At 45.2% G+C, this 26053-nt stretch overlaps 1 pseudogene across 1 annotated transcript; it reads right to left on the bottom strand.

Annotated features, from left to right (window-relative positions):
* Positions 1–6177: 6177 nt before the first annotated feature.
* CEACAM22P (CEA cell adhesion molecule 22, pseudogene) lies at positions 6178–26037 on the bottom strand (annotated as a pseudogene). The gene is made up of 8 exons (NR_027754.2): positions 25722–26037; positions 18018–18199; positions 16299–16553; positions 12774–13052; positions 11881–12135; positions 10120–10262; positions 8287–8416; positions 6178–7633 (listed from the first exon to the last, which is right to left on the bottom strand). The product of NR_027754.2 is annotated as a CEA cell adhesion molecule 22, pseudogene (transcript).
* Positions 26038–26053: the final 16 nt, after the last annotated feature.

Genomic DNA, 26053 nt, shown 5'->3' on the forward strand with positions numbered 1-26053 from the left:
AGGAAGGTCAGGTGGGTCTAGAATAGAGGAAGTGAGAGAGGATGGATGATTCAACAGGCGGCTTAGAAAACTCTGGAACTGTTACTTAGGGTATGAGGGGCAGCTTGGCATTGCAAGAAAGAGATCGTGACTCACTCAGCTGCCTCGTTTTGCTGCCCTGCTTCCGTCTTGCTCCTGCTACAGGCAGTCACAAAGTATCTGCCCTGATAAAGCATAAGGCCGAGCCAGCTGGCTCTGGAGCCAGAGTGCATGGGTTCAAATCCTGACTCCCCGACTTGCTAACTGGGTGGCCTCAGCAGGTCAGCTCCCCTCTCTAGGGACTACTTTCCTCAGCTCTAAAATGGAGATGATGCCCAGGCACACTGGCTCACATCTGTAATCCCAGCACTTTGGGAGGCTAAGGTGGGAGGATCACTTGAGCCCAGGAGTTCAAGACCAGCCTGGGCAACATAGTGAGACCCCATCTCAATTAAAATAAAATAAAGCAGAGTAGATGATGATGCTTTTGTCTCCTAGGAAGCTCTGTGGTTATGAGCACTTGACCTCAGTGTGCCAGGCCATCTGTCACCCTTGCTTGTGGCACCATTTACAAGCACTAGGCTAGCTGGCTGCCTGGGCTGGCAAGACAGTCCTTTACATCCCAGCCATGGTTCATTGGGAAAAATTTGTCACCCTTGCATGCTTCCGTGTGCTCCATCTGCAGACTGGGAGAAATCACAGACTCCCCGCACAAGACGGTTGTGAGGATCGAATGAGTGAGTGCCAGGAAAGTGCTCAGAGCAATGCCTGGCACAGCGTAAGCCATCAACAAATGTGAATTCCCACTGGATGTCATGACTGCCCTGCATCATAATCTCACTGCAGCCCTGTGAGGGGGTACGCATTCATTCACTCTGTTACTGCTGTGGACTGAATGTTTGTCTCTCTGTCATTCAGATGTTGAAGAAATCCTGATCCTGCACGTGATGGTTTTAGGAGGCAGAAACTTTGGGAGGTAATCAGGTCCCTCCCAATGGGATTAGTGCTCTTATAAAAGGGACCTCAGAGAGCTCTCTTGTTCACTTTCCACCACGTGGGGAATGCAACAAGAAGACAGCAGTCTGTCACCCAAGAAGAGAGCCCCCACCAGAACCTGACAAAGCTACCACCCTCATATAGGCCTTCCAGCCTCCAGAACTGCATGAAATAGCTTTCTGTTCTTTACAAATCACCCATTCTGTGGTCTGTTCTAGCAGCCCGAACTGACCGAGAGCCACTCAACATATATTTCGTGAGTGTCTACTGTGCCTGTTCTAGGTGCTGGGGACATAGCAGGTAATGAGACCATCAGACGAGGCCAGGTGCAGTGGCTCATGCCCATAAATCCAACACTTTGGGAGGCCAAGGTGGGATGATTGCTTGAGCCCAGGAGTTTGAGACCAGCCTGGGCACCCCTCTCTACAAAAAAATTAAAATAAAAAAAAATAGGCATAGTGGTGCGTATCTGTGGTTGCAGCTACTCAGGAGGCTGAAGAGGGAGGATTGCTTGGGTCTGGGAGTTCGAGGCTGCAGTGAGCCATGATCGCACCGCTGCACTCCAGCCTGGGTGATGGAGCAAGACTCTGAAAAAAAAAAAAGAAAAAGAAAGAAAGAAAGAGAAAGAAAGGAAAGAAAGGAAAGAAAGGAAAGAAAGGAAGAAAGAAAGAAAAGAAAGAAAGAAAGAAAGAAAGAAAGAAAGAAAGAAAGAAAGAAAGAAAGAAAGAAAGAAAGAAAAGAAAGAAAGGAGGGAGGGAGGGAAGGAAGGAAGGAAGAAAGGAAGGAGAAAAAAAAAAGAGTGGGGTAAGGAATATGATTATTCCATCCCATAGTTAAAAACACTGAAGCTCACAGAGGTGAGATGACTTGGATAAAGTCACAGGACATCTCAGGCCCTGGCCCTCAACCTCCATGTGCGTGTGCCTTTTTCCAAGGGCCCTTCGCTATTCCCCAGCCACACCTTTCTGTACACCCAGATCAATGAACACCAATGTGGCCACATCACCCCGCCACGCCTTCAGACTCTATGGGTCCCTGTACTGAAGGCGCCTGACCCAGACCAGCCCAGCATTCAAGGCCTCTGCCACCCACCTCGTTCTTCCCAGAATGTCTGAACCTTCTGACCACCCACCTTCTCCTAAGCCAGCTTCCCTCCCCACCACCTCTGCCCTGAGGCACTCTCCCCTCTTCCCCTCCTCCCCATCCAAGACAACAGAGCTGCTGCTGGAATGGACTTCCCAAATCTGCCCCTTCATGCAAAAGCAGGGTTTCCTCTCCTGAAATTCCCACCAACTCACCCACTCAGCCCCCAGGGCAGATTCTGTTTTTTGCTGCCCCAAGGAAAGAAAGGGACTTTCTGGGCCCCTCCCTGTAGCACAACTTCCAATTATTTCCAACAGGTGAAAATAAACCAGGTCCTCTCCACTTCCCACCCTTACCTACCAGGTCTCAGCCATGCAGGCTGGCTCAAAATTGTGTCTTCCCACGGGACTGACCTCCCAGCCCAGGATGCTGCCCTATGACTGTGCCCTCACTGAGGCCATTCACTCAGCAAAGATTTGTATGGCCCTACTATGTGCCAGGCACTGTTTCAGGTATCAGGGCACGCCAGCAAATGAAACAAACAGAGATCTCTGCCTTTATAGAAATGACATGTAATGAGTGCTGGGAGGGGAGGAGGGAGACAGATAATAATTGAGATACGTGGAAAATAACTGGCTGGGCACAGTGGCTCATGCCTGTAATCTCGACATTTCGGGAGGCTGAGGCAGGAGGATCACTTGAACCCAGGAGTTTAAGACCAGCCTGGGCAATGTAGCAAGATCCCATCTCAAAGTAAATAAATAAATGTGCTTTTTTAAACATTTAAAAACATGAAAATATTAAAATTAATTTTTTTTTAAAAAAATTAGAAAACGTAGCCAGCCACAGTGGCTCATGCCTGTAATCCCAGCACTTTGGGAAGCTGAGGTGGAAGAATCACTTGAGCCCAGGAGTTCAAGACCAGCCTGGACAACATAGGGAGATCCCCATCTCTACATAAGATCAAAGTTAGCTGGGTATGGTGGTGTGTGCCTGTACTCCCAGCTACTCAGAAGGCTGAGGCAGGAGGATCACTGCCTGGAGTTTAAGACCAGCCTGGGCAACATAGCAGGATCTCACCTCAAAGTAAATAAATAAATGCTTTTAAAAAATTTAAGAATGCAGAAACATTAAAAATAAAAAAATAATAATTAGGAAATGTGGCCAGGCACAGTGGCTCATGACTGTAATCCCAGCACTTTGGGAGGTTGAGGTGGGAGAATTGCTTGAACCCAGGAGTTCAAGACCAGCCTGGGCAACATAAGGAGAACCCATTTCAACACAAGATCAAAAAGTTAGCTGGGTATGGTGATGTGTGCCTGTACTCCCAGCTACTAGGGAGGATGAGGCAGGAGGATCACTTGAGCCCAGGAGTTTGAGGCTGCAGTGAGCTATAATCATGCCACTGCACTCCAGCCTGGGTGACAGAGTAGCTGGGATTTTGTCTCTAATATAAATAAATGAATAAATAAGTGGAAAATTACTAAACTATCTATGATGTTGGAAAGTGATGTGTGCCATGGGGGATGAGGGCAGGCAGCGTCAGAGTGCCAGAGTGGGCACGCAGGATTCAATGCTAAAGCAGGCAGTCTGGGTAGCCCCATGGAGTTTTAAGCAACGACTTGAAGGAGGTGAGAGGGCAAAATGTACATACATTTGGAGGTTTCTAAGAATTAATTCACTTCTGAAAAAAAAAAATGCAGGCAGAGTCCCAAGGAGCCATTCCCTGCCTCCTGCATTTAAATAACTGAGTTTTCTATCTGCTGCCACAATAAATGCCTCCAGACTTGGCAGCTTAAAACAACATAAGTTTATCCTTTTGCAGTTCTGTAGATAGAAGTCCAGGATGGCTAAATGACTTCTCTGCTCTGGGCTTTATGGAGCTAAAATAAAGGTGTTGGCAGCTGAGCTCTTAATGGGGGAGCTTTGGGAAGAATCTGCTTCCAAGCTGTCATTCAGGCTGTGGTTGGCAGAATCAAACTCCTTGGTATTATAAAGCTGGAAACCTGTTTCTGCGATGGTTGCCAGCTGAGGGCTGCCCTTAGCTCTGGAGGCCTCTCTCCTGTCCTTGCCTTTGAGCCTGTACATCTCAGAGCCAGCAACGCCACAACAAATCCTTCTCGGGCTTGGGATCTCTCTGGATTCCCTGTCTGCTGCATCTCTTCACAATTTTTTTTTTCTTTTTAGAGACAGGGTCTCCCTCTGTCGCCCAAGCAGTGGTGCAATCATAGCTCACTGCAGCCTTGAACTCCTGGGCTGAAGAAATCCTCCTGCCTTGGCCTCCAAAAGCACTGGGATTACAGGCATGAGCCACTGCACCAGGCCCTCTGTCTGCCGTGTCTCTCTTCTGCTTCCAGCTGGGGAAAGTTATCTGCTTTGAAGGGCTTGGGTGATTAGGTTGGACCCACCTTGATAATCCAGGATAATCTCCTTATTTTGAAGTTTGTAACTGTATTAGTCCGTTTTCACACTGCTGATAAACTGAGCAGCTTACAAAAGAAAGAGATTTAATGGACTTACAGTTCCACATGACGGGGGAGGCCTCACAATCATGGCAGAAGGCAAGGAGGAGCAAGTCACATCTTACATGGGTGGCAGCAGGCAAAGAGAGAGCTTGTACAGGGAAACTCCCCCTTATAAAACCATCAGATCTCATGAGACTTATTCACTCTCAGGAGAACAGCACAGGAAAGACCTGCCCCCCTGATTCAATTACCTCCCACCAGGTCCCTCCCACAATACACGGGAATTCAGATGAGATTTGGGTGGGGACCACAAAACCTAACCACATCAGTAACCTTAATTACATCTGCAAAGTCATTTTGCTTTTGTAATGTAACATATTCACAGGTTTGTTCATTTTTTATGGCTGAGTAGTATTTCATGGTGAATATATATCACAGGTTCCAGGAACTAGGATGTGGGCACCTTTGGTGGGGGGTCACTATTCTGCCTACCATAATGACATGATGTGAAAGCAGGAATGTCTAGAGTTCAGGCAGCCATTCTGAGACCATGAAGTAGCAAGTTCAGCAGGATATGCAATGCACTGAGGGTGGAGGGATGGATGAGAGGATATCACTGAGCCATAGAATAAACCTAGGGCATCTTGCAAAATGACAATTATGATTTTTGCCGCTGTGATCCAGGTTGTCTTTTGTTTGCAGCTGAATGCATTCTACCTGGCTCCTTTCCAGATCACCATTGGAAGTGTTTATTGGAAGACCTTGCATCAAAACCCTGATCTTTCAGAAACATAGAGTTTGTAGTAGTGTTCTTTTTCTTAAAGTGTGCTAAAACTTGTAAAATCGACTTTGAGAAAGAGCCTACTCAAAATTACTCTTCTGTTTAAACAGAGATTCCAGTCTAAGCTCCCTTTTATCCCATATGGGGAAACTAGGGCCCAGAGGGTACAGTGAAGTTTTTCTCCAGGGTCATAGAACTGAGTCTTCTTGGAACATCTGGGAAACTCAGTTTTGTACCGTTGACTTTTTGTGCTTTTCCTGTGTACAAGAAGCAAGATCAGTATAAATGGGAAAATAAATAATGCAGATCCAGGTAATAGAATCCCAACATCTCATACCCAAGAACCCCTACACACACACACACACACATGCACACACAACACATCATCATCATCGTTGTCGTCATCGTCATCCTCATCATCACCATCATTATCCTGCCCCCTGCAGCCTCTACACCATACTTGTTTCCATGACTCCTTAAATTCCTAGAATGGCACAGAAAACAGACAAAAGATTAGCTCACAGATGCTATTTTATTAAACTCATGATGCCCACTGACATAGAAAGGGACATATGTTTTCTGAGTCATGGTTCAAAGGAGTAAACTTTCCCAGAAGCTTCTCCAGCTGAGATATCCTCCCCTCACCAATATAACAATTTCACTAACACTCTCCCACTTCTACCCACTCTGTCATCATAAGCATCCACATCCCACTCTACCCAGTCAGAGCTATGACTTCTTCTTCTAGAACTTGGGACACCACCAATTAGAGAGTAAAATACTTTGGATCTTCCAAGTAACCTGCAGGATACTTTTTTTTCTTTTTTTTTTTTTGAGACGGAGTTTCACTCTGTTACCCAGGCTGGAGTGCAGTGGCACGATCTCAAGTCACTGCAACCTCCACCTCCCAGGTTCGAGTAATTCTCCTGCCTCAGCCTCCTCAGTAGCTGGAATTACAGGCACCCACGACCACACCCGACTAATGTTTTGTATTTTTAGTAGAGATGGGGTTTCACCATGTTGGCCAGGCTGGTCTCGAACTCCTGACCTCAGGTGATCCACCCACCTTGGCCTCCCAAAGTGCTGGGATTATAGGCGTGAGCCACCGTGCCCAGCCACCTGCAGGATACTTTTAAGTTCACCTCAAGATCGTGCATTAACAATTTTGTAAGGTGCTTAGCTCTTGTCTCACTACTAGGAAGAAAAGAGTGTCCAATCTTGCATTATCAAGCCAGCCATGAAAATTCCATTTAAGGGAGATGGTGGGGACAAAGAAGCATGGATGAGGGTCAGACAGAGTTCTGTGGTAGGAAAGTGAGAGGCTCCCAGGAGCTGAAGGATGTTAGAGATCAACTGATGACATGAGGATATTAGCTAATGCTGCCAAGGACTCTGTACAGACTCCTCAGCCTCCCAAGTAGCTGGGATTACAGACACATGCCACGGCACCCAGCTAATTTTTTTTGTAGCGTTTCAGAGGGGAGTCTCTCTATGTTGCCCATGCTGGTCTCGAACTTGTGGCCTCAAGCAATCCTCCCATCTCAGCCTCCCAAAGCACTGGGATTATAGGTGTGAGCAACCGTGCCTAGTCTGAACTGTGAATTTTTGAATGCAAAAGCTGACTGAGCTACTTGAGCCACAGCCCTTAGAGAGTTACACATAATATGCAAAGAAGGAATGCAACATAAGAAAGGGTATTCTACATCATAACACTTCTTTTTTTTTTTAAATTTTTTGAGACAGAGTTTCGCTCTTGCTGCCCAGGCCAGAGTGCAGTGGTGCCATCTTGGCTCACCGCAACCTCCACCTCCGGGGTTCAAGCAATTCCCCTGCCTCAGCCTCCCGAGTAGCTGGGATTACAGGCATGTGCCACCACACCCAGCTAATTTTGTATTTTTAGTAGAGACGGGATTTCTCCATGTTGATCAGGCTGGCCTCAAACTCCCAACCTCAGGTGATCTGCCCGCCTCAGCCTCCCAAAGTGCTGGGATTACAGGCGTGAGCCACCGCGCACAGACAACACTTCTTAACTGGTGGAGTAAACGTGTGGAGGTGGTCTGTGAAGCTACAAGGTAAGTCCTAATCATCATGCAATCCCCTGTCTAAAGCATTTTTGTTTTAAAAAAGGAAAGAGATTGGGGAGTGATTACAACCTTCTACCTTTCAATGAAGATCACCTCAAATCTGTTAAAATAGCTGGCTCAGTGTCTCTTTTTGGCCTTGGGAGGAGTTGAAATCTCTGGTCAGGGTGTTGAAGACTGGTCACAATGCAGTTGACATCTCCATGCCTCTGGAAAATATGAAACCTTGCTCAACCCTACCCAAGAAAGGGACTTTCTGTTCTGGCCTCCATAGCCAGAAACGCCTCTGCCTCCCCCAGCTGTGGAAGGAATACTTGATTCCCAACTCAGGGTCAGCTGCCCTTACTCTCTGCTCAATTCCTCTTTTTTCTCTGAAACAAAATATTTGGGCATCTTTCTCGATACCCTCCTTTCCCTAAATCACCTCCAACATCCAATCAATCACCAACTCCTAAGGGTTCCATCTTTGAAACTCATTAACCTTCTTTTCTGCCCCCTTTTCTCCATCCGCATGACCTTACCCTAGGCAATACCTCCATCTTCTCTCGCCTGTAAAACTGCTCTGAGTTCCCCAACCCTGACCCCCAGCCTCCCTGTCAGTATACTTAACCCCTCCAACATGCCCACCACAATTCTGGCCACCTTTCCAAATCCCAGCTCTGAATTAGAGTCTCTCTCTCTCCCCTCTAAACAGAGAGGCTCAAAGACCCTCAGCTGACCCTACAAGAAGTCTGGGATGCTGCCATTCTTTCCTGGTAAATCCCCTCCCATGATCCCTTACTGTCCACAGGGTGAACATCTAATTCTTCAGTCTGGCATCTGAAGCTTCTGAAGCATCTGGAGGTAAGTATTTCATCCTTACCTTGCTGAGCTGAACTCCACAGGATTCCTGGGCTGGAGAGAAGGAAAGAAGAGTTAAGTCCCAAGAGGCGAGTGGAAAAGGTGTCTTCCTCTGCAGCTAAGCCAATAGCAGGCTGTCTTCATCCCACCTTCTGAAGGAGGGAAAGGGGGCAAAAAGTTGAGATCTCTGCTTCCTAGGCGAGCCCGAGGTCCCAGAGAACCCTGAAGGTAGAGCAAACCTCGTGTTATCATGGTGAATAATATTGGCGTCCATCCCAGGAAACTGAGCTAATGCTCTCTGCCCAGATGTGCACAGGGATGACACACCACGAGCGATCTTGGTCCCATCCCACCCCTATTCTGCTCCAGGCTTCAGGTAGCACAGTGGTTAAGGACCCAGACTCTACAGTGAGAGAGAAATGGGTTCAAAGCTCCCCCAGCTCCTCTGCTCACCGTCTATGTGACCTCGAGCATGAGACAGAGCCTCTTTAAGCCCCAGTTTCTTCTTCTGCATAATAGGTGTAACCCTAGCTCCTCCCTCCTCGATGAAATGAGGAGACGCTGAATGCAGTGGCTCAGCAGAGGGTGAAATACAGCAAGCCCACAGGAAATGGGGCTGCAGTCATTTGTCTTTGCACAACTGGTAGTAGGATGGAGAGTGGACGCTCAAAGATACCAGGTCCTAACCCTTGCAACCTGTAAATGTTACGTCATAAGGAAACAAGGTTTTTGCAGATACAATTAAGGATCATGAGATGAGGAGGTCATCTAGATGATGCGAGTGGACAGTAAATGTCATCATGAGTTTCCTCATTAAAGAGTAGAGGGAGATTGGACACCCACAGAGGAGAAGGCAATGTGAAGAGAAGCAGAAGGTGACCCGGACACAAGTCACAGAATGCCACCAGCCAGCAGAAACATGACTGCAGCAGACCCAGGGTCCCACGCCCAGAAACCTCCAGAACACCTCAAGGGAATTGTAAACCAGCAAGAGATAGCTTTACATTTTTTTTTTTTTTTTTTTTTGAGACAGGGTCTCACTCTGTTGCCCAGGCTGGAATACTGTGGCATGATCATGGCTCACAGCAGCCTCAAACTCCTGGGCCCAAGCGATTCGCCCATCTCAGCCTCTTGAGTAGCTGGGACCACAGGCATGTGCCACCACATCCAACTAATTTTTTGTATTTTTGGTAGAGACAGTTTCACCATGTTGCCCAGGCTGGTCTCGAACTCGTGAGCTCAAGTGATCCACTTGCCTCAGCTTCCCAAAATGCTGGGATTACAGTAGTAAGCCTCTGTGCCCAACCTAGGTAGTGATATTTATGATTAGCCATGCCATAATTATAATATGATATTATACCTAGGGTTTAGCGGACACTATATAAATGTTAGTTGTAACTAATAATGGTTATTTTAACAATATTATTAATAGACAAATTTAGTTACCATTTACATATACAGACATTAGCTAAGTCCTGATGATGCCGGTGAATTGTCTCCACAACTATAAGGTAATGGCTACCTTTATCCCCATTTCACAGGTGAGGAAACTAAGGCAATAGTGGTTAGGACACCCTTCCAAGGTTGCCACTGCGAGGAGCTGGTGACAGAGGGGTTTGAATTCACTTCCATCTGACTCAAGAGCCCAGGATCGAACTCAGGACAAATGGGTGGTGCCCCAGCGCCAGTGCTGACTGCCAGTTCCTGAGCAGGTTCTTCCCCTGCAGGCCCACCCACTGGTCCTCAGTGCCCCTGGTCCCTGCCAGTGAAGTTTGCAGCTCCCAGATAAGTAGCCCCCTCTGGGATCCCCACTCAGTCCTGGCTCCGTGACCTCTGAGGGGCCCAGAGCTGGTACCTGGGACCTTATGACCCCAACACAGTAGCCAGCAGTCCCTGTGAGCACCACGCTGATCAGGACACTCGAGGCAATCCCTGCGATGCCTCCAGCAGGAATAGTGGTCCTGAGTAAGGCCGGCTGCAGTTCATCCCCAGGAACCTCTGCAGGAAAGAGAGAGAGAAGGAGAAAGAGAGAGATAGAAAGAGAGAGAGGGAGGGAGAGGAAGAGAGAGGTGTCAGTGCTGGGGCTCTGGGTTTCAGGTCCTCAGAGCTGTTCCCTCCATGTGCTCAATTCGAACCCTCCTCTCCCCCCATTTTACAGATTGGGAAACTGAGGCCCAGGGAAAGGAAGCGTCTGTACCAGATAATAAATATAACACTCACAGATGACAGGAATAATGTCTGGTAAACTATATTATCTCATTTATTCCTCAAGACAACCCTATGAGGAAGGCATTGTTAATATCCCCATTAAAGAAACAGGCACTGAGAAGTTAAACTACCCATCCACCATCACACATGGGGTAGAGTTAGAATTTGAAACATGTTGATGCCAGAGCTTACACTCTGAACCTCTGCACTATGTGGCCTCTGAGGATCACATTCATCCATTCCTCATTCAACGAACATTTATTTAGCACATACTGTGTGTGCCAGACACCTTTTTAGGCACTCGAGGGATATTGCAGAAAACAGAACAGACAAAATTCCTGATGTCCTAGAGCTTACACTTTAGGAGGGAACTGAGACATAAAACACACAATGAGGGCCAGGTGTGGTGGTTCACGCCTGTAATCCCAACACTTTGGGAGTCCGAGGCAGGCGGATCACGAGGTCAGGAGATCGAGACCATCCTGGCTAACACAGTGAAACCCTGTCTTTACTAAAAATACAAAAAATTAGCCGGGCATGGTGGCACGTGCCTGTAGTCCCAGCTACTCAAGAGACTGAGGCAAGAGAATCATTTGAACCCAGGAGGCGGAGGTTGCAGTGGGTCAAGATTGTGCCACCGCACTCCACCCTGGGCGACAGAGTGAGACTCTGTCAACACACACACACACACACACACACACACACACACACACACACACAATGGAGCAAATATATAAAGTGATGACAAGCATTATAAAGGAGTAGAATAAGATGCTATTCGAGGATCTCACAGGAGGACCAGACTTAGTCTGGGGAAATCAGGGAACGCATCCTGGAGGAAGTGACATTTAAGCTGAGATCCAAAAGACAAGTCCAAGATCAGCTGGTAGAGGGGTTAGTCTCCTGAGCAAAGTGGCCAGCATTCATTCATTCATTCATTTATTCATTCAGCAAGCTGTTCTAGGCACTGATGATACAGCAGTCAACACAACAGACAAGGTCTCAACCGTCACAGATCTGGCCACCTGGATGGAGAGATTGATGATAAATAATTAGGCCCTAATAATAATTAGGGCCTGGCATGGTGGCTCACACCTGTAATCCCAGCACTTTGGGTGGCCAAGGCCAGTGGATCACCTGAGGTCAGGAGTTCAAGACCAGCCTGACCAATATGACAAAACCCCGTCTCTATTAAAAAACATACAGCCAAGTTCAGAAGGACCACCCAACTGACCTGCAGACTTACAAGCTGTAACAAATTCTTATTGTCTTGAGCCACTGGGTCTTGGCAGGGGGGGCATTTTATGCAGCTTTGTTGAGGTACTATATGATTGACCCAAGCCCCAGAACCCACTTATATCAGGCAAGAGACTCTGAGCCATTATCACCACGGCATCTCAACACCCACCTGAGATCCAGATCTTCCCATTGACTGAGCTGCAGAGGTGAGTGATGCTGTTGGAGGCCTCACAGGTGTACCTGCCCTACTGGTCCAGAGTGACCTCAGAAATGACCAGGTGCTGGGTGGCAGGGCCTGGCCTTCTGTCCATCTCCCAGTGGTACTGGGCAGGGGGGTTTGAGTCAGCAAAGCAGGACAGGGTGAGGGCTGCCCCAGCTGTGACCTCTGGGTCTGGAGGGTTGACCATAGGAGGGTCTGGGCCATCTGCAGAGAATTGAGAAGACCAGGCCAGAGGGAAGAGGAAAGGCCTTTGTCCATATTACAATGCATTGGCCATTGTCTCAGATGACACTCTTCCATCCCCCTCCAGTGCACAACTGCATTTGACACTGTTGGCCATCTCCCTTCTAGTTGCTTTCTTGTCCCCTACCACCACCACCACCTCCCCATACCATATTCTCTACTTCTACTGTGCAGCTAGAGGTATCCTTTTCAAAGCTTGTTCAAACCTGCGTCACATCATGTCCCTTCTCTGCACAAACCCTTCTTTGGCTGCTGTCTCATGCAGGGTAAAAGCCAAAGCCCTCATCATGGCCCACAGGCCCTGCACAGTCTGTCCCATTACCTCTCTTGGGGCAAGACAGTCCTCTTCTTCCTCACTCTCCTTCTTCCCTTTACTTCAGCCACTATGACCTCCTCTCTCAAAACCACACTCCCACCCCAGGCTTGGCATTTGCAGTCTCCCTTCCACAAAATCTCCCCTTGGTGCCCTCTCTCACTTTGTCCAGGACAGACACTTCCAGCTTTGCCAACAGAACCAGCTAAACTTCAGCCGCTCCTTCACCCCTCAACCACACTCCTATGCACATCTCCACCCATCCTTTATCAGGTCCTGGACTCACATGTAACTTTGATGAGAGTGGGGTTGCTGATGCTGCTGGTGGCTGAGTTCCAGCTCTCACACTGGTAGACCCCCGTGTCATTCCTGGTGATGTTCGACAGAGTCAGTGTTCTGCAGTCCAGGGACAGCTCCCTGTGGCCACCAATGAAGAGCTTCTGGCCATTGACATCCCGGCGGATGGCCACAGTGCTCCTTGGAGGAAGGCAATGCAGACTGATGGAATCCACATGCTCCACTGGGGCTAAGTTACTGGCTGTGACATTGGGCTGAGGAAGTGTCTCTGCAGGAAAATTAGAAAGAGGTAGAAATGCTGAGTCCTGCCCAGATCATGGGCTTAGAGAAGAACACCCTTAGGGAACACCCTTAGGGCTGAAGGAATTCAGCACACTTGCCAATCATCCATCCATGCACCTGTCCATAAGTCCATCTACTCTCCACCAACTCAGCCTTTCCTACATTCATTCACCCAATTGTTCACTCTTCCAGTCACCCTTCTATTTATCCATCCACCAATTTGTCCCTCAATCCACCCATCTATCCATCCGTCATCCATCCATCCATCCATCCATCCATCCATCCATCCTATCCATAAATCTACCTTCCCATCTACCTACCCACCCAGGGATGCATACATGCACCCATCTTCTCAATCATTCACCATTTTTTTCACCCATTTGTCCACCCAATCATCTTTTCCAATCACTTACCACCCACCTAAATTCGCTCATCCACCTATCCCTTCATTTACCCAATCACCTATTCATTCATCACCCAATCACCTATTCATTCATCCACCAATCCATCCATTGATCTTCCCTTCTGTCTGTTTACTTAATAAATTAACACTTCTGGAGCACCAAATATGCCCCAGGCTTTGTGCTAAATGCTTTACAGACACAATCTTATATCCTCATGCTTATATTTCAAGAGAAGGGTGGATTTTAACCCATTTCACAGGTGATAAAACTGAGCAAACAATAAAAAGAACCTTCATCAATTGAGTACTTAATTTGTCGTAGATGTTTTATGTGTGTGATTCATTAGACTTCACAACAACCCTGTAAATCCCCATTTGCAAAATGAAGAACCTGAGGCTCAGGGATGATCCATGACTAACCCAAGATGAGGACATTGATCCATGGGGGCAAATGGGATTCATGCTGCCCATCTGCCTGCCTCTTTCCTTTCTCGCTGACCTGCATTACACCCAGGGTGATCTCCCACACAGCTGAGTTGTACCCTCTGTAGCTCCTACGAATCACCTGGATGTTGAGATGCACTGTGCTATAACATCCTTTTATTCTCCTAAGTCATAATCACACCATACAAATAAGAAAAGGATCTCAGAAGGGTAACCATTGAAAGCAAAAATTTTCATCCCTAAATAACTTTTATACCAATATTTTTAAAAATTTGGAGCAAGATAGCACAACTCTTCTTTATAAAGGAAAATACATATGCAGTAATTTATAAGAAATAGATACTGGAGGCCAGGCACTGTGGCTCGTACCTGTAATCCCAGCACTTTGGGAAGCCAAGGCAGGCGGATCACCTGAGGTCAGGAGTTCGAGACCAGCCTGGCCAACATGGCAAAACCCCGTCTCTACTAAAAACACAAAAATTAGCCAGATGTGCTGGTGCACGCCTGTTATCCCAGGCGGCTGAGGCAGAAGAATCACTTGAACCCAGGAGGCAGAGGTTGCAGTGAGCCAAGATCATGCCATTGCACTCCAGCCTGGGTGACGGAGTGAGACTTTGTCTTAAAAAAAAAAAAAAAAAAAAAAAAAAGAGAGAGAGAAGAAAAAAAAAAAGAAATAGGTACTGGGAATGAACCTGTAAGAGGGTATAACAAAATATTAGCAGTGGTCATTTCTGAGAATGTAGAGTTTTTACCCTTTTCCTTTTTAAAAATATTTGTATTGGTAATTTCTCTTACACTGGATATACAGTATGTATTCAATAAAGAAATAATCAGAATGTAGGATGTAATGTGGCTCTATATTAATTAACAGAAAGACATTAAAGATTAAAAGATGAAATTTAAAAACAGTTTAAACAATAATAAGTATAGTCTAATACTATTTGTTGTTTAAAAATACATATATTTGGCCGGCCACAATGGCTCACACCTGTAATCCTAGCACTTTTGGAGGCCAAGGTGGACGGATCACTTAAGCCCAAGAGTTTGAGACCAGACTGGGCAGCACAGCAAGACCCTGTCTCTACAAAAAGGACAAAAATTAGCCCAGCGTGGTGGCATGTGCCTGTAGTGCCAGCTACTTGGGAGGCTGAGGTGGGAGGATCAATTGATCCCAGGAGGTTGAGGCTACAGTGAGCAAAGATCAAACCACTGCACTCCAGCCTGGCAGACAGAGTGAGACCCTGTCTCAAAAAAAAAAAAAAAAAAGAAGACCACACACATATATTTGAATGTATATACAAAAACAGAGGAATTATAGAAGCCCTGTGGCTTTTTCTGGGAGGCTTATTGTGGAAAACATTTTTTGCCTTCTTGCCCATCTATATGATTTACTTTTTCTACAATTATTGTGAAATTTATTTAAAATGTGAAAAAGGTGGCATATAATATTTTTTTTTTTTTTTTTTTTTTTTTTTTTTTTAAGTTTCCTTGTATTTTGAATTCTTTTTTTTTTTTTTTTTTTTTTTTTTTTTTTTTTTATTATACTCTAAGTTTTAGGGTACATGTGCACATTGTGCAGGTTAGTTACATATGTATACATGTGCCATGCTGGTGCACTGCACCCACTAATGTGTCATCTAGCATTAGGTATATCTCCCAATGCTATCCCTCCCCCCTCCCCCGACCCCACCACAGTCCCCAGAGTGTGATATTCCCCTTCCTGGGTCCATGTGATCTCATTGTTCAATTCCCACCTATGAGTGAGAATATGCGGTGTTTGGTTTTTTGTTCTTGCGATAGTTTACTGAGAATGATGGTTTCCAATTTCATCCATGTCCCTACAAAGGATATGAACTCATCATTTTTTATGGCTGCATAGTATTCCATGGTGTATATGTGCCACATTTTCTTAATCCAGTCTATCATTGTTGGACATTTGGGTTGGTTCCAAGTCTTTGCTATTGTGAATAGTGCCGCAATAAACATACGTGTGCATGTGTCTTTATAGCAGCATGATTTATACTCATTTGGGTATATACCCAGTAATGGGATGGCTGGGTCAAATGGTATTTCTAGTTCTAGATCCCTGAGGAATCGGGTGGCATATAATATTTTTAAAGCAATCCTATCAATGAAAAGTCATTTTGTTGGTTAAAGAATGTAAAAATTTATTCTGCATAACACAGGTTAGAAAAATCTTGCTGAATATATAAAGAAGTGAAACAGCAAAGAAAAGAATTCTAAAAAACAAAACCAAACCCAAATTCGCCAATGAAGTCCTGGGGCAGAGAAGAATTTTTCTCTTATTTTTTTCTTTTTCTTTTTTTTTTCTTTGATTTTGAAGATTTCACCATTAACCAATCACCCTCAACCCTGGCTTCATACCTGAGACAGTGATGATGGTGTCCATACTGCTGTGCAAGCCGGAAAGGGAGTTGGAGGCCTTGCAGGTGTAGACCCCTGAGTGTGCCCTGGAGAGACTGGGCATGAAGAGGGTCTGGCCCTCCCATGTGGTGACCCCACTGAAGCTCCATGTGTACTGGGCAAGGAGGTGGGAGTAGGCTAAGCAGACCAGAGTGAGGTTGGAACCAATCACAAAATCTGGGTCCAGTGCGGTCATGATGGGGGTATCCGGGCCATCTGAACAAGGAGAAAGACTTCCTAATTAGGAAGAGTATGAGAAGTAAGGACCACCCCCCTAGATTGTGCATTTCAGCTCAGTGTTGGAAGCCTGACATGTTGAGGGAGGCACACAGCACCACAACGTAAAAGTTTGTCAGAGGAAGGAAGGGAGGGAGGGGAGGAAGGGAGGGAGGGAGGGAGGGAGGGAGGAAGGAAGGAAGGAAGGAAGGAAGGAAGGAAGGAAGGAAGGAAGGAAGGAGGGAAAGAACAAACGAACCATGGCTGGCGGTAGCCTCCCTCTTGTGTCTATTACCCTCCTTGATCTTTGAAGACTGTCAGCTCCATGAGGACAGGGATATGCTTGTCAGTTATGTTAACTGCTTTGACTAGAAATAACACCCAATACACACAGCACACAGTGGATGCTCAGTAGATGCTTTCCCAAAAGTAGAGAGACAGAGGGGCAGAGAGAGAAAAACACATGGGTTCAAGTTCTTATCTTTCTTCTTGACCACGGTGAGATCTTGGGTGAGCCCTTCCCCTTTCTTAATCTCAGTTTTCTTGTTTGTAAAATGTGGTGTCTCTGAAAGTCCTTCCAGTTCTGCAAATATTTATGTTGTCGAGTCTGGAATTTCTGGGATCTTGGCTTCCTACAATCTCCATCTACCTTTGTACCTGAGATTGAATGGGTCTGAAAGTCCTTAATTGGGTACATAGTAGAAGCTCAATACATGCCCCTTAAATAAATAAATGATGATAAACTTCTGAGAGAATAGTCATTGTAAACGTCTATTAAGCACTTAGTGTGCAGAGTAGTGGAAAAGAATAAAGAAAAAAAGAGAAAAAAAGAAGCACTTGCTATGTTCCAGGCACTATTCTAAGTTCCTTAAATGAACTAACTCACTTAATCCTCATAATCACCCAATGAGATAGATAATATTATGATTCTCACTTTGCAGATGAGAAAACTGAGGACATAGAAAAGTGAAGTGACTTGCCCAAGGACACCTAGCTAAGAAATAGCAGGGACGGCTGGGCGCAGAGGCTCACGCCTGTAATTCTAGCACTTTGGGAGGCTGAGGCAGGAGGATTGCTTGAGCTTAGGAGTTCAAGACTAGGCTGGGCAACATAGTGAGACTTTGTCTCTACCAAAACTTGTAAAAATTAGCCAGGCATAGAGGCATGTGCCTGCGATCCCAGCTACTCCGGTGGCTGAGGCAGGAGGATTGCTTGAGCCCAGAAGGGCAAGGCTGCAGTGAGCTATGATCCAGCCACTGCACTCCAGCCTGGACAACAGAGTGAGACCATGACTCAATAAATAAATAAATAAAAGAAACAGAAGCACTAGGATTTGAACCAAGGCAGTCTGTAGAGTCTCTGATTTAAACGCTAAGCTATAAATCATGGATGAACCAGTAGATAGTTGGGCTGGAGGTTCTGTGTGGATCAGAGGTGAGTCAGAGCAAAGAAACCCAGACTTACAAGCCACGCCAACCACGAGGGCTTCACTGAGCCTGGATCCCAGGTGGTTCCTGGCCTCACAGTGGTAGGTGCTGGAGTCATTGCGTGTGACTGTGGGGATGGTGAGGACCCTGCCATCTCTGGAGATTACTGGTCCATCCCCTTCCTGAATCACCTCAAGGTTCAGAAACCACTGGAATGTCCTGTCATTGTTTGGAGAAATGCATGTCAAATTCAAGGAGTCTGTGTGCTCCAGAGGGGCCAAGTTCTGGGCTTCCACCGGGGGCTGGTGCAGCTTCTCTGGGGAGAAGGAAAGAGAAAGAATGGCGTTATAGGACATGGGAGGATCTGGAACCCTAGGAATGATCAGCAGCACGAATAGGCTGGGGACCTTGGAAACACCAGCGTTGGCTTTGCTGTTTCCAAGATGACCAATAAGCACACACACACACACACACACACACACACACACAGCCAACAGCTCTACTTCCGGAAGTTCTTAACTGTCTAGAGATCCCAGATCCTCTCCCCAGAAATACACCCAATAACACACACACCACACAAATACCTACACATTTGTATATAATTTCAAGGGGTTATGGGGCACTCTAAAGACCAACTTTAGATTTCAAGTGAGGAATCTTATACCTAGATTACAAATTAGTAAATATCTTTCTTTTTTGAGACAGGGTCTTGTTCTGTTGCCCAGGCTTCAGTGCAGTGGCACTAACACGGCTCACCATAGTCTCAACCTCCCAGGCACAAGCGATCCTCCCGCCTCAGCCTCCTGAGTAGCTGAGATCCATGCATGTCACCATCCTCAGCTACTTTTGAAAAACTTTTGTAGGGTGGGGTCTTGCTGTGCTGCCCAGGCTGGTCTCAAACTCCTGGGCTCAAGTGATCCTCCTGTCTTGACCTCCCAAAGTGCTGGCCTGACAGGAAGTAAATATCTTTCTTGAAGTCAACTTAGAAATACAAGTTGAAAGTTACACATGTTTATATAACTTTTGACCCAATGATTACACTTTTAAAAACAGTTTTATTGAGGTATAATAAGCAAATAAAAATGTTGTATGTTCAAAGTGTACAACTTGATGTTTTGATAGTTGATCTCTACAATCAAGCTAATTAATATATCCATCACCGGCTGGGTGTGGTGGCTCAGGCCTGTAATCCCAGCTCTTTGGGAGGCTGAGGAAGGTGGATCACCTGAGGTCAGGAGTTTGAGACCAGCTTGGCCAACATGGTGAAACCCCGTCTCTACTAAAAAATACAAAAATTAGCCAGGTGTGGTGGCACGCACTTGTAATTCCAGCTACTTGGGAGGCTGAGGTGGGAGGATCTCTTGAACCTGGATGGTGGGGGTTGCAGTGAGCCGAGATCATACCACGACACTCCAGCATGGACAACAGAGTGAGACTCCATCTCAAAAAAATGAAAAAAAAAAAAAGGAAGAAAGGAAAAAAAACTGCTGGATGCTTGCTTGCATTGCTTCCATTGCTTGCACTGCAAGCATTATCTCATGTACTACTGGTACCACCCTGTGCTGTAAGGACTATTAATATCCCATTTTACAACAGGTAAACTGAGGTTTATGTTGGGTAAGTGAGTTGTGAAAAACCAAGTTGTAAGTGGGTGAATCATTTTTAAACTCAGGGCTATGTGACTCCAAACTTCATAACCACTGTGAAATAAATACTATGTAGAAAAATCTATTTTTAAAAAATCTCAGAAAATGAAGCAGGCACAGTTTTCCCTATTCCATCCCGAGCACAGTTAAAAACCTTGGATATTATCACTTCTACACTGCTGGTGGGAATGTAAACTAGTACAGCCGTTATGAAAAACAGTGTGGAGATTCCTTAAACAACTAAAAGTAGAACTACCATTTGATCCAGCAGTCCCACTACTGGGTATCTACCCAGAGGAAAAGAAGTCATTACACAAAAAAGATACTCGCACACGCATGTTTATAGCAGCACAATTCACAATTGCAAAATCGTGGCACCAACCCAAATACCCATCAATCAACAAGTGGATAAAGAAACTGTGATATATATATATATGTTCATATATACGTTCATATATATATGTTCATATATACGTTCATATATACGTTCATATATACGTTCATATATATACGTTCATATATGCGTTCATATATGCGTTCATATATATACGTTCATATATGCGTTCATATATATACGTTCATATATGCGTTCATATATATACGTTCATATATACGTTCATATATATACGTTCATATATGCGTTTATATATACGTTCATATATGCGTTCATATATATGCGTTCATATATATGCGTTCATATATACGCGTTCATATATACGTTCATATATACGCGTTCATATATACGCGTTCATATATACGCGTTCATATATACGCGTTCATATATACGTTCATATATACGCGTTCATATATACGTTCATATATATACGTTCATATATACGTTCATATATATACGTTCATATATATACGTTCATATATATACGTTCATATATATACGTTCATATATACGTTCATATATACACGTTCATATATACGTTCATATATACGTTCATATATACGTTCATATATACGTTCATATATACATTCATATATATGTTCATATATACGTTCATATATATGTTCATATATATATATATATATATATATATATATATGAATGATGGAATACTACTCGGTCATAAAAAGGAATGAATTAACAACATTTGCAATGACCTGGATGAGACTGGAGACTATTATTCTAAGTGAAGTAACTCAGGAATGGAAAACCAAACATCATATGTTCTCACTGATATGTGGGAGCTAAGCTATGAGGACACAAAAGCGTAAGAATGATACAATGGACTTTGGGGACTTGGGGTGAAGAGTGGGAGGGGAGTGAGGGATGAAAGACTACAAATAGGGTGGAGTGTATACCGCTCAGGTGATGGGTGCACCAAAATCTCACAAATCACCCCCAAAGAACTTACTCATGTAACCAAACCGACCTGTACCCCAATAATCTATGGAAAAATAAATAAAATAAAATAAAGCAATAGAGAAAAAGCCTCAAAAATATGAACAGAACATCATTGTTCTATGGGAATAATATCAAGCAGTCTATCACAGGTGCAGCTAAAGAATGAATAAATAAATAAATAAATAAATAAATAAATAAATAAATAAAAATAGATGACTCGGAAAGGAGGAGAGAATATGGCAGACTGGCTGCGGATCTCAAGACCGGAGAAAGCACATGGTGGTGAGTTTTCTGGACTTTCTTTGCGCCTCACAGATCCCAGACTGGGAGCTGGAGAGCCTGGCAATCTAGAAATGCCAATGAGTGTAGATCCAAAAGAGGCTCAAGCAAAGCCTGCTCTAGCCAAAGGACAAGGAGCAGTAGCCTGACAAGATTTGCTAAAGACAGCAAATCTTTACAAGATAATCACTTTGCTGCTGTGATATCCCACAGAAAAGCCTGGACATTTACCCTTGCCAGCTGTACAGAGACACCCATCCCCTCCACCAGGCTGAATAAGCAGCTGGGACTGTCATCCTTGCCCAGCAGTAATGAGCACCGACCCTGCAGTGTCCATTGAGGCCACTAGGGAGCGGTAACGAGGCGTCTCTGCCCCTTCTGGGCAAGATGGTATCAGAGGATGTCTCAGTGGAAAGCCTGAACTCTGCTAACTGCCCAGAGTAACAGTTGCCCCGCCCCACCTGGAATGTCAACAGAGGCCAAATGGGGAACCTGGACCTCCATCCCCACTGGCTATAACAAGATGGTGCCCTTTTTGCCCCACCAGCAAGATGTCAGAGGAGACCTGCTATAACAGAAGATTTAAATGAGATCCAGCGTCTCATAATTTCCAAAATGTCCAGGGTGTTGTTGAAAATCACTTGTCATACACCTACATGTAATCCCAATACTTTGGGAGGCCGAGGTGGGAGAATTGCTTGAGCTCAGAAGTTCGAGACCAGCGTGGGCAACATAGTGAGACCCCATCTCTACAAAAAAAAAAAAAAAATTGACTGAATGAGAAAGACATTCCTGAAATTAAATGAGGAAAGACAATTAATAGAGATGACATGGATTGTTGTTGATGTTTTCTAACTTGGTCTTGAGTTTTCTAGGGGATTTAGTTGTAGATGTTTAAAGTGTAATTTTCACTGGTTACTTCTTTATCTTGGTGGTCGGCCTAATGCCTACATGTCTGACCTGTGACCAGGTGTCCCTCTCACAGTACACTTATTTTTTGTGTGTTTGTTTGTTTTTGAGACAGAGTCTCACTCTGTCACCCAGGTCGGAGCGCAGTGGTATGGTCTTGGCTCACTGCAACCTCCACCTCCCAGGTTCAAGCAATTCTCATGCCTCAGCCTCCTGAGTAGGTGGGATTACAGACATATGCCACTACACCCAACTAATTTTTTTTTTTTTTTAAGTACAGACGGGGTTTCACCATGTTGGCCAGGCTGATCTTGAACTCCTAGCCTCATGGGATCCTCCCACCCCAACCTCCCATAGTGCTGGGATCACAGGCATGAGCCATCACACCTGGCCACAGTACACTTGTTTATAATGGCAGACATTCTTAAGGCTTTTGTCTGACCTGTGTCCAGTTTATTTCTACAAAGAGAGCCATGCTTTAGGACAGCCCTGACCAGGAAAGACGTTAGGTTTGGATGTGTCAGTCAGGTGAGACACAGAGGAGGCAGCACAACAAAACACATGAAATAACAGGGGCAGTTTATTACTCACAGATTCCGGAGAAGACAGAGCAGCACATCTCACAGAGCCAACAGGAAGAAGAGAGTTGTCGGGACACGCACACTCAACCAGCGGGTGGGGAGCAAGAAAGAGAAAGTGAGAGACCTGTGGGCTGATGCTTTTATTGGAGTCTAAGGAAACTGCTCAGGCAGTTTTCCACAGAGAATTCTAACTGGGTTTAGAGCCAGCAGGCACAAGTTGCATGGAGTCACACTGACTGGGAGGTGATCACTGTGGCATATCTGCACAGCCTATGCAGGGTCTGGGGGTCAGGGGGACAGTCAGGTGAGTTATATCTAGCTGTTGCATAAGGAGGTGGTTAACAGGAAGTGGTAGTGTAAGGCAGGTATCTGGATCTGCCACATTAAGGATCTGGGGGGAGGCGGAGACCTGGAAACTGTGTCAAGGGTGACTAAGCTTTTCTTATGGTATGAGAAAGTCCAACTTATATTCAAAATAGATACTGAGCCAGGCACAGTGGCTCACATCTGTAATCCCAACACTTTGGGAGGCTGAGGCAAGAGGATTGCTTGAGCTCAGGAGTTTGAGACCAGCCTGGGCAACACAGTGAGACCTCCGTCTCTACAAATAAAATTTCAAAAAATTAGCTGGGTGTGGTGGCATACGCCTATAGTCCCAGCTACTTGGGGGACTGAGATGAGAGGTTCACTTGAGCCCAGGAGCTCGAGGCTGCAGTGAGCCGTGATTGCACCACTGCACTCCAGCCTGGGTGACAGAGTGCGACCCTGTCTCAAAACAATAACATTTCAAAAATTGATACTGAGTTTCTATAAAATTGTAAGAATTCACTACACTGATGTTAGAATTGTCTTAAAAGAATCTTAGAGCAGCCAACATAAAAATGCTTCAATGAACAATTACAAACACTTGAAATAAGTGAAAAACCAGAAAGTCTCAGCAAAGAAATAGAAGATATGAAAAAGAACAAGACGGAAATTTTAGAATGGAAAAGCACAATAACAGAAATTTTTTAAAAACTTAATGTTTGAGCCCAGCTGCAGAATGGAGATGACAGAGATAAAAATCAGTGCAGATAAAAGTTACCAAATCTGAACAACAGAAAGAAAATAGACTGATAAGAAGTGAAGAACAGAACTTTGGGACCTGTGGGACTTTAACAAAAGAGCCAACATTCATGTCATTGGAGACCCAGAAGGAAAGGAGGAAGTGGGTATAATGGCTGGTTTCCCAAATCTGGTAAAAGACATACATCTATGGAATCAAGAAACTGAGTAAACCCCAATGCCAGCGTGGTAATCAGGATTCTAAATATAGTCCTTCCAGATTTCTGTTCCTGATTGTTCAATCAAATGCTAATCTAGGTATTGCTTTGAAGGGATTTTGTAATTAAAGCTCAAAGTCAGCTGATCTTAAAATACAGATCATCTGGGTGGGCCTGACCTGATCAGGTGACTCTTTTAAAAGCAGATCAGATGAGAAAGTCAGAGAATCAAAACACAAGGAGGATTCAATGCATCCTTGCTGTCTTTGAAGATGCAGGGGTCAATGTGTGAGCAGGGTAGAGTGGCCTGCAAGAGCTTAGAGCACCCGCAGATGACAGCCAGCAAGGAAACAGACCTCAGTCCTACAACTGTAAGAACCTGGATTCTGGCCAGGCACAGTGGCTCATTCCTGTAATCCCAGCACTTTGGGAGGCCGAGGCAGATGGATCACGAGGTCAGTAGATCGAGACCATCCTGGCTAACATGGTGAAACCCCGTCTCTACTAAAAATACAAAAAATTAGCCAGGCATGCTGGTGGGTGCCGGAGCTTGCAGTGAGCCGAGATCGCCCCACTGCACTCCAGCCTGGGCGACAGAGCGAGACTCCATCTCAAAAAAAAAAAAAAAAAAAAAAAGAACCAGGATTCTGCCACCATCTGAATGAGCTTGGATATGGGTTCTTTCCCAAAGCCTACAGGTAAACCCCAGCCAACTCACATCACACCTTGATTTTGACCTGGTGAGAGAACCCAGTTGAGGACACTTGGACATCGAGGTACAGAAACTGAAATAGTAAATGTTATTCACTCTCTTAGTTCACCCAGAATCAGACTCTGCACTAGAATGTAAGTGCAATTAGTTTATTATTTATTTATTTACTTTTTTGGAGATGGAGTCTCGCACTGTCGCCTGCCACCACGCCAGGCTAATTTTTTGTATTTTTAGTAGAGACAGGGTTTCACCATGTTAGCCAGGATGGTCTCGATCTACTCACCTCGTGATCCACCTGCCTCAGCCTCCCAAAGTGCTGGGATTACAGGCGTGAGCCACCACACCTTAGTGCAATTAGTTTATTTTGGAGAAAGCATTGGCAGAGGTGTGGGAAAGTAAGTAAGGGAAAAGAAGGAAGCCATATAGAAAAATTAGCTCTATAGAAAACTGGAGCTCACCTCTGAAAACTGGTACAAAACACACCTCTGAGGGCCGGGCGCAGTGGCTCACGCCTGTAATCTCAGCACTTTAGGAGGCTGAGGCAGGCAGATCACCTGAGGTCGGGAGTTTGAGACCAGCCTGACCAACATGGAGAAACCCCCTCTCTACTAAAAATACAAAATTAGCCCGGCGTGCTGTCACATGCCTGTAATCCCAGCTACTCAGGAGGCTGAGGTGGGAGAATCACTTGAACCTGGGAGGCGGAGGTTGCGGTGAGCCAAGATCGTGCCATTGCATTCCAACTTGGGCAACAAGAACGAAACTCCATCTCAAAACAAAACAACAACAACAAAAAATAAAACCACCTCTGAGTTGTTCCCCCTAAGTTCAGGGGAATATATCTACCAATTCCTTCTTGGTGTTAGTTAATGGTCACTCCCAGGATGTTAATTTCTCTGACATTTTCAGCCTGCCCTCAGTTGGGGCTTGCATCCTCTTGTACTCAGAGAAATCAGAGAGGCACAGACACTCATGGAAGGGGTTGCGGAAGTACTCACCACTCTCTTTCAGTCATTTCGAGAATTTCTCTTCTTTCATCATTCAGTCGTCCTAAAAGTCCTGTGTGTCAATAATAAATTACACCCACTGAAAGGAAGACGTATATTTACATTTCATGGCCTTTCATTTTCTATTAGTGTCCCCTTCATTCCACTCCATCTTATTATTAGAATGATTCTACCAGTGTCTTTCTGGAAAATAGGTGTAGGAATAAATTTATTCTAAAAAATAAAACAACATCTACGCAAAGAGGTCTTAAAACCTTCATAATTAGCTCTATAAAACAATTAACTCCAAGAAGTAATGCTGAATGCTTTCCAAATGCATACTG

Source organism: Homo sapiens, chromosome 19 (genome assembly GCF_000001405.40).
Source record: "Homo sapiens chromosome 19, GRCh38.p14 Primary Assembly".
Lineage (NCBI taxonomy): Eukaryota > Metazoa > Chordata > Mammalia > Primates > Hominidae > Homo > Homo sapiens.